The 15,003-nt window shown below is 42.5% G+C and overlaps 1 protein-coding gene across 7 annotated transcripts in view, besides 3 other annotated features; it reads right to left on the reverse strand.

The window, feature by feature from the left end:
- TGFBR3 (transforming growth factor beta receptor 3) overlaps window positions 1-15,003 on the reverse strand; it is a 225,660-nt gene that overhangs the window by 187,689 nt on the left and 22,968 nt on the right. The gene's annotated exons all lie outside the window — the stretch shown is intronic.
- Window positions 385-886: an enhancer, noted in NCBI's record as "H3K4me1 hESC enhancer chr1:92333973-92334474 (GRCh37/hg19 assembly coordinates)". NCBI's record gives its function as "activates a minimal SCP1, AML or CMV promoter by ChIP-STARR-seq in primed H9 embryonic stem cells {active_cell/tissue: H9 hESC(primed)}" and the evidence as "EXISTENCE:reporter gene assay evidence [ECO:0000049][PMID:30033119]".
- Window positions 887-1,386: an enhancer, noted in NCBI's record as "H3K4me1 hESC enhancer chr1:92334475-92334974 (GRCh37/hg19 assembly coordinates)". NCBI's record gives its function as "activates a minimal SCP1, AML or CMV promoter by ChIP-STARR-seq in primed H9 embryonic stem cells {active_cell/tissue: H9 hESC(primed)}" and the evidence as "EXISTENCE:reporter gene assay evidence [ECO:0000049][PMID:30033119]".
- Window positions 4,495-4,564: an enhancer, noted in NCBI's record as "active region_1310". NCBI's record gives its function as "activates an Ori minimal core promoter by ATAC-STARR-seq in GM12878 lymphoblastoid cells {active_cell/tissue: GM12878}" and the evidence as "EXISTENCE:reporter gene assay evidence [ECO:0000049][PMID:35858748]".

Raw genomic sequence — 15,003 nt, forward strand, 5'->3', positions numbered from 1 at the left:
CTCAGCCTCCCAAATAGCCAGGATTACAGGCATGTGCCACCACGCCTGGCTAATTTTTGTATTTTTAGTAGAGACAGGGTTTCGCCATGTTGGCCCAGCTGGTCTCGAGCTCCTGACCTCAGGTGATCAACCCACCTCAGCCTCACAATGTGCTGGGATTACAGGTGTGAACCACTGTGCTCGGCCCCACACTGTCTATTTTAAATAAATAATAGTCATTGGTATTTTTATGGTTAAAATATACCTAGACTTCCAAAAAGAAAATAAGCAAACTACTAGTAGCAAGGCAACAGAAATAGTTGTTTATAGCAAATTTTGTATTATTTTTGAGATTAGACTTTATCATCTAGAATTTCAAAAATTCCCTCCATCACAAAAAAATGATTCCAAATTCCATACAAGGTATGGGTTCTAAAGATACTCATAATGTAGCAAAACTGTCCAAATGGTGGTGAAGCCATTGCCTCAACATTTCTGGTATAAGTTACAGGGATCTGGCTGCAGGGCCCTTCTCGATTCTATTTGATGATTCCCAATTAGCTGCAGGGGTTCAGCTGGGGGCTGTGGAACTTGGTCTGGCACTGCCACCAAACCAACCAAGCTACCTAGAATGAGGAATCAGCTGTCATCAAAAAGGTTTAAATCATAAAGCTGTAATTATTCGAGCAAAATTCAGCATATCAGAATATTCTCAGGACAACAGTCATCCTCCCTCAGGCCCTAGCAAGCACCTGGCCATTGAAAAAAGCTTTTGATAGCCTGGACAACATAGTGAAACGCTGTCTCTACAAAAAATTTAAAAGTGCACCAGGTGTGGTGGTTTAGAGCCCAGGCATGTGAAACACTAAGAATTAAAACTCTTCAATGGTTGCCCACTGCCGTCCAGATAAACAGCAAAACTTCACATGGCCACCAACCATCGTCTAGTTAGTCCAAGCTCATCTTCTGCACACTCCAGCCACACTAGTGTCAATTCAGTCCCACAAAAGGGCCAAGTCCTCACCTTCCAAAAGTGATGTTCACTATATCGGAACTCAACATCCCTCCATGGTCCCTAGGATGGTCACTTTCTAACATCTTCAGGTCTCAGCAAAAGCCTTACTTCTTGAAGGAAGCCTCCTCTGATTCCCTTGGACCAAGTTAAACTTGGACACCTAGAACGCAGTACAACCCTTCAGGTTGTAATTATTATGTAATTATTTCCTTCCAAGTATGGCTTTCCCACTGTCTTAATTCCAGCAAGGCGGATCACAGTCTACCTACACTTGGCTGACAGCGGGCATCTAATGAGGGTACCACAGTGGACTACAGGTATAAATACTACTGTGCACACTACAATAAAAATAGTACAGGCCGGGAGTGGTAGCTCACACCTGTAATCACAGCACTTTGGTAGGCCAAGGTGGGCAGATCACTTGAGGTCAGGAGTTCCAGACCAACCTGGCCAACATGGTGAAATCACATCTCTACAAGAAATACAGAATTAGCCAGGTGTAGTGGCACATGCCTGTAATCTCAGCTACTCGGGAGGCTGAGGCAGGAGAACCGCTTGAACTCGGCAGGCAGAGGTTACAGTGAGCTGAGATCACGCCACTGCATTCCAGCCTAGGCAACAGAGCGAGACTCCGTCTCAAACAAAAGAAAAAAGAAAAAATAGTACAGCAGGATGATAAATTAGAACATTTCTCAATAACAAGAGTTATGTATAAGAACCTCAGGCATCCTCAAAGGAAAAGGAGGCAGGAGTGCGACCATCAGCATGTTTTACCAGCTCAGACCTTCTGCATCCTACTTCCCTCATTTCTAATATGAAGAAATTAAACAAGAAAATCTTTTATTCTATATCATACTATAATTGTCATTACATGGACTAATAATCCTGAATCCCTTCTAGAAAATGAGACTTCAAACACACTTGTGGAAATCTGAAATGCATAATTATGTAAAGGCTAGCAGGAATAACTTCACAAAACAGAAAAGTGTTATCCAAGAAAAATATTCAACTTGGCAACATAAGAATAAACAGAATATTAATACTACATTAGCTATTTTAATATATAACTTACGTAAACAAAAATTATTTAAATGCAGTATCTTCCCAACAATGTAAGCACACAAAAAACCTGAATTTTGTCAGATCTAACCATTTTATCACAATCTGCCATCTTTATGCTATTCCTCAAAGTCCAAGAACTCTACCAATAGTCCTCACCTCATTCCAAAAGAGACTTCTGATTAATCCCATCCTACTGTGAACATTCTGTCACTTATCATTTTGTGTATAATTTGTTCCATGTTATCTTCTAGTCAGAGCCAATTTGGAATGCTAGAACAGGTAGTATCTACTCCGACCCTTTAATTTTACAGATTAGCAAACCAAAAATTAGAAAGGCTCAACGACTGGCCCAGCTTTACACAGCTACTTAGTTACAAAGCCAAGACTTGTCCACATGCTGCTTTGTAATTATTCTGTGGTTGATCAAGTGTCTATACCTTATTCCCCTTCCTGTCAGAAGCTGACATCTCTGCTTTCTTCTGAACCCACAAAATGTCTGTTATCATCTACTGAACACCTATCATGTATATCACAATTTCCCATTTAATCTTCTCAACAATACAAGGAGACAGATGCCCTTTACTCCATTTTGTAGTGAGAAAGGTGAGGCTTCAAGATGCTAAGTAAGGCTGGGTACAGTGGTTCACACCTATAATCCCAGCACTTTGGGAGGCAGAGGCCAAAGGCTCCCTTGAAGCCAGGAGTTCATGACCAGCCTGGGAAACATAGAAAAAATAAAAATAATTTGAATATCAGGAGTTTCTGAAAATAAATAAATAAATAAATACAAACACAAATATTAGCCAGGCATGGTGGCGCATGCCAATAGTCCTAGCTACTTGGAAGGCTGAGGCAGGGGGATCACTTGAGCCCAGAAGTTCAAGGCTGCAAGTGAGCTACAATGGCACCACTGCACTCCAGCCTGGGCAACAGAGTGGGACTCTGCTCTGTCACCAAAAAAAAAAAAAAGATGCTAAGCAACCCCAAGTCACCAGCTTATAAATCCTGGCACCAGGACTTAAACCTAGGTCTGTCTAATTCCACGCCCATGCTCTTAACTACTACAAACAAGAGATCCTCCAGAAACAGCTGACTTTCAAAAAAAAGATAGGGACTGTGCCTATTACTAAGCCACTGTAGACATCAACCAGGCCCTGCATGGACACTCACTTTCTGGTGGTGGGTAGTCTGATGAGATCTGGCACAAGGGACAAATTATTTTGTTCTGAAACCAGGGTGGCAGGCCTTGATCAGCAGTTTTAGTTTACTTCATTCATTCACTCAACAAACATTTATTAGCGCCTACCCTGTCCTGGGCACTGTTCAGGGAGGTGGGCACATAGCAGCAAATTAAACACACTCCTGTTTTCACATAGGTTACCTTCTAAAGGTGGGGACAGACAAGACAACAAATAAATAATATGTCAAGGCATGAGAAGACCTAGGAAAGGAAAATAAAGCAGGTTAAGGAGAGAGAGTGATGACAGGAGGGATGCTATTTTAGACAGGGTGGTCAGAGAGGGCCTCCCAGACAAGGTAACATTTAAGCACAGAGGTAAGAGATAAAGCTATGACAATATCTAAAGGAAAAACCTCCCAGGCAGTGGGAATAGTGAGTGCAAAGGTCCTGAGGTAAGAGCATGCTTGGTTTGTCCTAGAAGCAGACTACAGTACAGCATAGTGGAAAGTGCGGGGCCCCCATAGCCTACCTGAGTTCAAATCCCCCACCTGCCTTTTCTAAGCAATATAATTTTGGGCAACTTACTTAAAGCTCCATGCCTGATCTATAAAGTAGAGATAATGATTCTACCTCCTTCATGGGATTGTTATGATGACTAACTAAATTAATAAATAAAGCACTTACTTCCTAGTATGTTGTTAGAATTCAGGAAATGGTAGCTTTGATTATTTTTAACTACTCACTGATAACTCAGCTCCATTCTAGACAATTTATTTTCAATGTGATACCTTTGAATCCCAGGGTGAATGACACTGCAGGCTTTGTACATGGCCAATAGCTTCCTCCTAAGCCTTTGCCTTTCTTGGCTGGGCTTCCTATCCCTGTAGGAACCATGCCGATGTTATCTCAATAAGAGCAGGAGGCAAATTCCTCTAACTTTACTATTACACTAATACAAATTATGTACTTCATTCCACATAATCCCTACCCATAAGAGTCTGACACTTCTTCAGAGCTGAATTTATTGCCCTGAGGATTTACGGTATTGGTTTCACAAGATGGGGTCCTGCCAATCCTGACTTCCCACTAGCATCATCAGCAGAAGCAAGCAGAAATTTCAGGGACAACCCCTTATCTTGAGAAGGGTTAAAACTTCACTTCGAAAGATGGTAATTTAATTTTAAAGAATCCGTTCTCCAATGTCCTTTTTGCCTAAAATTAAGATTTCTCTTCAAAGAAATTACAACATCAAAGCAAAACTCAAGAGTCATCTGGCCTAAAAGTCTCAAGACTGAGCACAGCCCCCAAGCAAGGCAGCTCTGGAAGGGACTGTGTAACCAGACAAGGGGATGGGCACAGAAACAAGGCAAGATGTCAGGGCTGCAAGGAAATTCTGCCCTGTTTCCCCCTGCCCTCTTCCCTAGCTCTTTTCTTTAACGTTGTGTTTGCTTTTCATCTTTGTAGCCTGCTGGGTTAAAGGGCAAACCACAGGCAGAGAGAAACCGCAGCAAGCCCATGCCTGTTAGAGGTAAAATGGGAGTCTTCCCAAACCACTTGTAAGGATGGGGGGACCCACAGGTGCTGCTTTGAGTCAGACATGAAAACGAGGTCAGTGTTCTAGTCCAACGAGTCTTAAATGAGGCTTTTTAAAAATCAGATTCTCCTTCCCCGAGATTGATGGTTTTCCCTTTTTTTGACGGGGTGGTGGGAGGGGGGGATAGGGTTTCACTCTGTCACTCAGGCTGGTGTGCAGTGGCATGATCATAGCTCACTGCAGCCTCGAACTCCTTGGCTCAAGCTATTCTCCCACCTCAACTACAGTCCCTTTAAGCAGGGACTACAGGTGTGCCCCACCACACCCAGCTGACTTTTTAAGATTTTTTTATGGAGATGGGGTCTCACTATGTTATCCAGGCTAATCTTGAATTCTTTGCCTCATATAATCCTCCTGCCTCAGCCTCCTAAAGCACTGGGATTATAGGGGTAAGCCATCACACCTGGCCAATTTTCCCTTCTTTTTTTTTTTTTTTTTTTTGAGATGGAGTCTCACTGTTTCCCAGGCTGTAGTGCAGTGGCACTATCTCAGATCACTGCAACCTCTCCCTCCCAGGTTTAAGCAATTCTCCTGCCTCTGCCTCCCAAGTAGCTGGGATTACAGGTGCCTGCCACCACGCCCAGCTAATTTTTGTATTTTTTTTTAGTAAAGATGGGGCTTTACCATGTTGGCCAGGCTGCTCTCAAACTCCTGTCCTCAAGTGACAGGAGTCCTCGAGACTCCTGTCCTCGGCCTCCAAAAGTGTTGGGATTATAGGCCTGAGCCAACACGCCTGGCCCAATTTTCCCTTTTTAATGCCCTGAGTGCACCTATAACTGGGGCTATAAGAAATCCATAAAATGGGCTGAGCGCTGTGGCTAACGCCTGTAATCCCAGCACTTTGGGAGGCCAAGGCGGGTGGATCACTTGAGATCAGAAATTCAAGACCAGGCTGGCCAACATGGTGAAACTCCGTCTCTACCAAAAATACAAAAAAAATTGGCTGGGCCTGATGGCATGTGCCTGTAATCCCAGCTACTTGGGAGGATGAGGCAGGAGAATGGCTTGAACCCGGGAGGCAGAGGTTGCAGTGAGCCAAGATTGTGCCACTGCACTCTAGCCTGGGTGACAGAGTGAGACCCTGCCACAAAAAAAAAAAAAAGAAATCCATAAAATGCTTCTTATTCATTTAATAATGTTTATCAAGTGCCTGCTTCATGCCAGGACTGTTCCAGGTGTGGGTATTCAACAGAGAACAAAACATAAAAATCCCTGCCCTGATGGAGCTTTCATTCTAGCTAAAGGAGACAGACTATAAACAAGATACATAATTATATATTATATAGAGACCAATGCTAAGAAAACAAAGCAGAAAAGGGAGAGACAAAGTATGTGTGTGGGGTTTTGGTTTGGTTTGTCTGTTTTGAGTAAGGACCTAACAGAAGCGAATTCTGTAGCTATTTGGGGAAAAACATTCCAAGCAAAGGAAACAGCACATGCAAAGGCCCTGAGACAGAGCGTATCTGGCGTGCTCAGGGACCAACAGTCAGGTGCGGCAGCTGGAGCAGATTGAGCAGCCTAGAGAGCACAAGAGGGAAGTCAACTGGGTCACCAGCATAAGAGTGGTGGGCTGGTTGGGCAGGGCTTTGCAGATCACTGTAAGAATTCTGGCTTTTATTCTGAGAAAGACAAGAATAAACAGTAGAGTGGTTTTTTGGTTTTTTGGTCACTCTGTCACCAGACTGGAGTGCAGTGGTGCAATCTCAGCTCACTGCAACCTCCGTCTCCTGGGTTCAAGCGATTCTCCTGCCTTAGCCTCCCGAGTAGCTGGGATTACAGGCGCCCACCACCATGCCAGGCTAATTTTTTTTTTAGTAGAGACGGGGTTTCACCATGCTGGCCAGGCTGGTCTCAAACTCCTGACTTTGTGATCCGCCTGCCTCAGCCTCCCAAAGTGCTGGGATTACAGGCGTGAGCCACTGCGCCCAGCCTAGAGTGTTTTAAGCAAGGGAATGAAGGAATCTGACTTAGGTTTTATCACAATCATTCTGGCTATTGGGTGGGAACTAGGCTGCAGAGGGGCAAGAAGAGAAACACTGCTCTCTGGTTGTTCTCATCTTTAGAGAAACTTAAGGAAGATTATTCTAAGCCCCACTGTAACCCTAAACTCTATGATTCTGAGTTGATTTTCTGTGTCTTTTCTATAGCTATAATTTATATCAACTGTAAGCCTGATCTTTCCCCAAAGCCATAACTGAAGTGGGCTGAAATGAAGAATTCCATTTGACAATATATCTATAAACCAGGCCCATGCTACACACCTAGAATACCAAGATGGTAAGACTCAATCCTGCTCTGGGGAATCTGCCGAAGGAAAAACAACATTCTCACGAGGCAGCAAGAGAAGCACCTGCCAGGAGGAGCCACATGAAGCCCCACTGGAGGAGCTGGCAGCAGTGAGAGCCTGGAAGAGTAAGCAGGAACCCCCATAGAGAAGGAGGGACATGGGAAATACAGAAGGTGACACTGTGGAGGCTGTGGACCACAGAGAAGTAATATGGTGGCTTTTGGACTGTAACAGAAAAATCTACAGAACAACCAGATGGCACTGTCCGATAGGCTGTTGGAAATATGGGTGTGAAAAAACAGGGAGCTGCTGATATTGAAGCACAGAAATATGAGCAACTCAATGTAGACTGAAAAGACAAGAAAAAGAAAAGAAGAGGGGAGAGGAGAGGAGGAAAGGAAAATGCAACCTTGGAAAATGTCAACCCATAGGGATCAAGCATTGAAAAGGAAGACTGGGCTGGGCACTGTGGCTCACGTCTATATTCCCAGCATTTTGGGAGGCTGAGGCAGGCAGATCACCTGAGGTCAGGAGTTCAAGACCAGCCTGGCCAACATGGCAAAACCTTGTCTCTACTAAAAATAGAAAAATTAGCTGGGCATGGTGGCGCACACCTGTAATCCCAGCTACTCGGGCGGGGGGGGGGGGTGGGAGTGTGCAGCTGAGGGAGGAGAATTGCTTGAACCCAGGAGGCGGAGACTGCAGTGAGCCAACGTCGTGCCAATGCACTCCAGCCTGGGCAACAGAGTGAGACTCCGTCTCAAAAAAAAAAAAAAAAAAAGAAAGAAAAAGAAACAAAATGGAAGACTGAAGAGACATCCGGAACATAAGAGGAAAACCAGGAGAACTCGTTTCAGGGAAACCAAGAAAAAAAATGGGGGAAAAAGGATAGTAAAGCAGCAAATGCAACTTTGCACTCCGTACTTCACACCTCTTCTAGCACCTCATGGGGGTGTGGTGGGGGTGTGGTGGGCGTGGGAGCCAGCAGCAGGCAGAAGAGTAAATGGGAGGTGAGAAGAAAAGCACCAAGAGCTAAAACACATTAGCCTCAGTGACAAGACTAAGAGTTATCAAAGATTATGCAGCATCAGGAAAGTCTTATTCAACACTCTGTGGAGGTGTAAGGTGTGAGAAACAGGAACTAAGACCTGCCGGGGCTGATCTTCTGGCAGTGGAAAGGAGATTTCTTAGTTAACACCTAGGTCTCACAGGACCACTAATCCTGAAACTAGCAGTAGGCATCCCGAAAGGCTAGTTGCTTCTGACAAGTGCTGAGGACAATATATTCACCCACACATCATCCAAATGCTAGGCTTCGCACCTCCATACCTTTCCCACACTAACATCCCTAGTTTTCTCCTCCAGCAGAATAATGCTAGGCAGCAGGGACTACATTTCAGTTCAAAGCATGGTAAAAAAATTCATATAACAAAAACCATAGCACCACTACCAGGTATGATGCTGTGAGCCCATAACCTGGGACCATTCAGGCAGGAAAAGGCTTTACCAAAAACACAAGCTGGGTCCCGGAACACTGGACCCAAACCCTTTCATGTCAGCAAAAACTGCCTAAATGCTCTTCTATTTGCTCTCTGAGAAACAAAAAGAAGCCGAAGGAGGAAAAGGCCTTTAATCCTAAAATTATTCTTAATTTCCAATACAGAGCATTTGAGAAAAATCTGAAAGCCAACAGAAAAACTAGCAGATTCTTTAAAATGTGTGTCTACAGTCCTTTCTCCTTTACCCTCTGCAAAAAAAAAAGCAACCCAACTCCCAAATGATCATTTTTCTTGGCTTAATTTCACTATTTTTTGTGATACATAATTGGAAACAGACTGCTTTTTCCTGGCTTTAGAGAACAGGATCTTCAGGGTTATAAGAGTTGCCAACTACAGAACCTCAACCTTAGCAAAATTTTTTTGCAAACCTCTTACCTATCTACCTACTTGAAATACATATTAACTCCAAAGAAAACACGTAAATCCCCTATTATTATGCAAAAGTGGATTTTCTCCCAACAAATTAGACACTCCTCTCCTTTTCCTAGCCTACCCATTGAAATCCTGCTCTGTGTTCAGCTATGTCCCATTCAAACATGACCAAAAGCCCTAACCAGCATGGTATCTAGATGGGATACTTTTTGGAAGCATTTTCTTTTTTCTTCATATTTTCTTTTTTTGTGTGTGTGGTGGGGGTAGGGACAAGGTCTCACTCTGTCACCCAGGCTGGAGTGCAGTGGTATGATCATGACTCACTGCAGCCTCGACCTCCTGGCTCAAGCCATCCTCCTGCCTCAGCCTCCTGAGAAGCTGGGACTACAGGCACACACCACCATGCCTGGCTAATTTTTAACTGACATTTTCAGGAATTTAGTAGAATTGGTTCTACAGGAAAGCTCCTTATTTAGCCCACACAGTGAATGAAATTAAAACCTGGAACGTCTTAGAGAACAACCACTCTAACAATGAAATAAAGATGCCACAAATTGAAAAAAGATATAAATATGGAAAAATGTGAAATGCAACAAGTAGGTCATCCTTCCCCTAGCTCCTGTGTCAAAAACATGATACATCCAATGGCTGTACAGCTATTGTAACGAATAATGAGTATGACAGCTTAAAAGCTCAAAGACAAGTGTCTTTACAAAATGGGCTGTTGGCATAAGTATTTTTTTCAGGATTCAGATGATTTATCACGAATACATAACAAGTAGCAATCTCTCTAAAGTCTCGAAAATAAGAAAATGAATAGGAATGTCTATTCAGAAATGCTTTGGCTAAAAGATAGACCAGCAATAGGAAACATGCCCATTTAGATCAGAAACTTCTCCCACACACATAGGGAAGACCTTACGCTGCAATGATGCAAAATGTATGTAATGAGTCAATGGTGCTTTCCCTCAAAGTTAAATTTAATTTGCCAGCCAACTGCACAAAATCTAATATAACAAAATGAGATACTTATTCTTTATGGAGACTCAGAAGAGTTTTGTTTTAAAGAAAAAACCATAAAAGAGATAACTCACAGCAACACAGTGAGTATCTTACAAAAGTACTCAGGGTACCACATGAACACAAGCCTTTGTGATTAGAATCTAAGTTTTTCACCTCAAATAACCTTCCAGAATGAAAAGAAAAAAAAAAAAAACACACATTCTGCTCCAGCAATTATCACACAGTTAGTTAATTATAAAATGAAATTTCCAAATAGTCTCCAGAGTATTTTTGCATCCAAGGACCAATATCACACTGTCAAAACAATAAATCACTAAAAATGCTAACAAAACGAATACTCCCAAAAGGGACCCTTTTCACTTGCCAGATGGAATTAAGTATTCATCAAGTTTCCATTAGCAAAATAGTATGATACAAATTTAAAAAGAAATCCAGAGTTCTACTAGACCCTCCACCTGGCCCATTTGATGTTCTCACCTATAAAAGGTAGTGAGTCATGCTTGTGAAACTGCAGACCTTCGCCCAAGGCAATCTGATCCACAGGAAAGCTCAAGGACTAGTATCTGTAAAGATCATTTTCTAAAGATCATTTTTCAAGGACTAATCAACTTAAATGTGTTTTTACAAATGATCCATCAGCAATTTTACACAAAAAACCTGACCTTCGGCATATACCAGAGAAATGAATTATGTGCCTGGAAGGACAGAAAAGCAGGTGTTTCGTCCTCCTGCAAACAACACCCAACTCCAAAGGCCCCCTTCACTAGGAGTCCAATGTCCAGAAAGTATACGCTTCTTTATAACCATTTTTTAAGTAAAGATAGAGCTAACATTTCAGACTTAATTCTAAATTATCTTGGCAACAGTTTAACATTAAAGTGGGCTTGCGGGCATGGTGGCTCACGCCTGTAATCCCTGCACTTTGGGAGGCTGAGGGGGAAAGATCACTTGAGGCCAGAAGTTCGAGACCAGCCTGGACAACATGGCAAAACCCTGTCTCTACTAAAAATACAAAAATTAGCCAGATGTGGTGGCCCCCGCCTGTAATCCCAGTTACTTGGGAGGCTGAGGCACAATAATCGCTTGAACCCAGGAGGCAGAGGTTGCAGTGAGCCAAGATCACACCACTGCACTCCAGCCTAAGCAACAGAGCAAGACTCTGTCTCAAAAAAAAAAATAACCATTAAAATCTAATTCTAAAAATCAACTTTGCTAGGCTCTACATATAACTGAATCCTCTTCCCAGGATGGAAGAAGATTTCAACATAAAAGAACCACCACCACAAAAACCAGACATTAGGCTCCCTGCCCTGCCCCCCGACACCAAAAAATTATCTTCAGCAGGGCACATTAGGATGGCCTGAAGGCATGGTTCTGGGGCTCTTGTTCTAGACCTTCCATTTTAAATATGGTCTCTATCCCTCATAAGCAGTTGTCAGCCTATTAAGTCTTCATCTTTGGCCTGAAAAACTGAAGAATAAAAAATGAAGAATAAGTTCCAAATGACAGTAGCCTCATGCAGAATTTATATCAATGTTGTTTCAAAAACACATTTTGGTTGAGAGAGCAAGACATCAAAATCATTATTCAAGTGGGGAGGAAGAATGCTTGGAAATTTGTGCTGATTCTTAAGCAAGGACTTTGCAAGCAGAGAAAATAAAGCTCAATGTCAGTTAACAAACAAATGTGCTATTTCAAAAGATATAAAATAAGAAATCTAGAAATTTTATATTCCTAGATTTATTTATTATATTTCTATATTTCCTGGACAGAGCCCAGGAAATGAACCCAGATCCTTCTTGTAAGGCCCTTCCAAGCTGTGTTGATTTATTTCAGCTTGACTAGACACTGAACAAATTAGCAACAGCTTGTGTTTTATGACATGCTGCAAAGAAACAATGCTATCATTCCAAGTGTTACTCTGAAGATGCAGAACCAGAGAAGTTACTGCTATGGCTCTTGGTACACTTAATTTTCTTCCTACAGAAATGCCCTCACTCAATCTGCTGAAGGCTCACTATTATGTGTTTAAGGTTAGCTTTTCATATAACCTAGATTCACTCTTAAATTCCAAATTGCTTATATTCCTAGTGGCAATACAAGACTGCTTTTACATTAAAGGCCCCTAAAAACATTTATCTAACTCAAGTTATGCAAATTTCAAAAAAGTTAACATTTTTTAAATTTACAATTGTTTTAAATAAGTTTAAAAATATGGCCGGGCGCGATGGCTCACACCTGTAATCCCAGCACGTTGGGAGGCCAAGACGGCGGATCACGAGGTCAGGAGATTGAGACCATCCTAGCTAACACGGTGAAACCCTGTCTCTACTAAAAATACAAAAATTAGCTGGGCGTGGTGGCGGGCGCCTGTAGTCTCAGCTACTCGGGAGACTGAGGCAAGAGAATGGCGTGAACCAGGGAGGCGGAGCTTGCAGTGAGCCGAGATCGCGCCACTGCACTCCACCCTGGGTGACAGAGCGAGACTCCGTCCCAAAAAAAATAAAAATAAAAATAAAAATATAAGAAAAATGCTCCAGTAGACTGATGGAAATGGCAATAAAATCACTTTTAAGTAACTGTTAAGACTGAAAAAGAAGACTGTCCTTTAGTAGCTAATAAATCTGACAGCCAGGAGCAGTGGCTCATGCCTGTAATCCCAACAATTTGAGAAGATGAGGCAGGAGGATCACTTGAGCCCAGGAGTTCGAGACCAGCCGAGGCAACATAGTAAGACTCTGTCTCAAAATATATACATATTATATATTATACAATATATAGTTATAGATTATATATATGTGAGATTTTACATATATTTACATATTTTATATGAATAAGTATATAAATAAAAATAAAAAATAAATCTGACAATTACAATTTTTATCCAACAGCAATGAAAGCACCACAAAAAGATGTTTCAAAATGAACTATCAAGAAGGGAGGTAATTCAAAATGACCACAGAGCAGAATCATCCAGGCAAAATATTACAGCAAAGTTATTACTTACACAGTCACAGTCTAAACTCTAACTGTTCTGTCTGTTAAGCTTAAAATGTAAAGTCAGGACCTTTCACAGATTTTTGAAGCCAGGAAATTGGTCTTCACTTATATACTAAAGAAGTCAGCAGTGATCACCTTCTTAAAACTCAAAGGACAGTTGAGTTCCCTGGGCTCTTAGGCTCAGATTCTGCCCTCAGAAAAACAAGCACTCACCTGACTTTTACAAGTCACAACCAAGTTTGCATGCAAGAGAGAAAAATTAATTCTTTTGAGTCTTAAAAACAATGGAACAACACTTTCCTTCAAGCCAACGAAAGGCTTTCTGTAAGAAAGCCCTAAGCAACCTGAAGGCATTTTGGCCCCCAGTCATCAGAGCACTGAATAAGGACAATTAATTTGCCAAGCTCCAAGACCAGAAACCATAGCCTAGTAGGGAGTAGGAGGTTATAAGTGTTTGTTGAATTACTCGAGTAAACTAGAGCAAAGCATAGAAGACTAAATGAGATCCTAAATAAATGCCACTCTGTAGTATAAGCGCAATGCTAAGATTTAAAAAGAAGGGACTCAACTAATTTTGAAAGTTATTTTAAAATAGGATCCATGGGACCCTAACGTAGTAAATGAAATAAAGGTAAATCAATACTACATAATATGGGGCCGGGCACAGTCGCTCACGCCTATAATCCCAGCACTTTGGGAGGCCGAGGCGGGTGGATCATGAGGTCAGGAGATCAAGACCATCGGGGCTAACACAGTGAAGCCCCGTCTCTACGAAAAATATAAAAAATTAGTCGGGCGTGGTGGCATGCACCTGTGGTCCCCGCTACTCGGGAGGCTGAGGCAGGAGAATCTCTTGAACCTGGGAGGCGGAGGTTGCAGTGAGCCAAGATCACTCCACTGCACTCCAGCCTGGACGACAGAGCGAAACTTTGTCTCAAAAATAAATAAATAAATAAATAATAAAAAAATACTACATAATACGCAAGAAACAAGAAAGGAAACTGGCCTACAAAACTACAGACAAAAATTGAAAACCTTTTTTTTTTTTTTTTTTGAGACAGAACCTCGCTGTCTGCCAGGCTGGCGTGCAGTGGCACGATCTCAGCTCACTGAAACCTCCACCTCCTGGGCTCAAGGGATCCTCCCACCTCAGCCTCTGGAGTAGCTGTGATTACAGGTGTGCACCACCACGCTCAGCAAATTGTTGTATTTTCTGTAGAGATCAGGTTTCGCCATGTTGGCCAGGCTGGTCTCGAACTCCTGACCTCAAGTGATCCACCTGCCTCGGCCTCCCAACATGCTGGGATTACAGGCGTGAGCCACCACACCCAGCCAAAAACTTTTTTTAAAAGTCAAGTTTGGCCAGGCACCGTGGCTCACGCCTGTAATCCCAGCACTTTGGGAGGCTGAGGTAGGCGGATCACAAGGTCAGGAGATCGAGACCTTCCTGGCTAACACGGTGAAACCCCGTCTCTACTAAAAATACAAAAAAATTAGCCGGGCATGGTGGCGAGTGCCTGTAGTTACAGCTGCTGGGGAGGCTGAGGCAGGAGAATGGCGTGAACCTGGGAGGTGGAGCTTGCAGTGAGCTGAGATTGCACCACTGCACTCCCGCCCGGGCGACAGAGCGAGAGACTCCATCTCAAAAAATAAATAAATAAATAGATAAATGTCAAGTGTGATTTTTTCAAGCATATTCTTATTGTTTATGTTTACAAGTATGAGTATTCATAGACACATCACACTTATACTAGTATCAAATATGATACATCTGAACTACTACTATACTTGAATATTAACGTAAGCCTCTGAGGAATTCACAGTAATAGAACTGCTGTTATTTAGGATTACTGATCCCCTATTGTCTTGCACTTAGAAGATGTTAATGAAAGATGATGACAGGATTGTGAACACACCAACCTCCCTGAGAAC

This window comes from Homo sapiens, chromosome 1, assembly GCF_000001405.40.
Source record: "Homo sapiens chromosome 1, GRCh38.p14 Primary Assembly".
Lineage (NCBI taxonomy): Eukaryota > Metazoa > Chordata > Mammalia > Primates > Hominidae > Homo > Homo sapiens.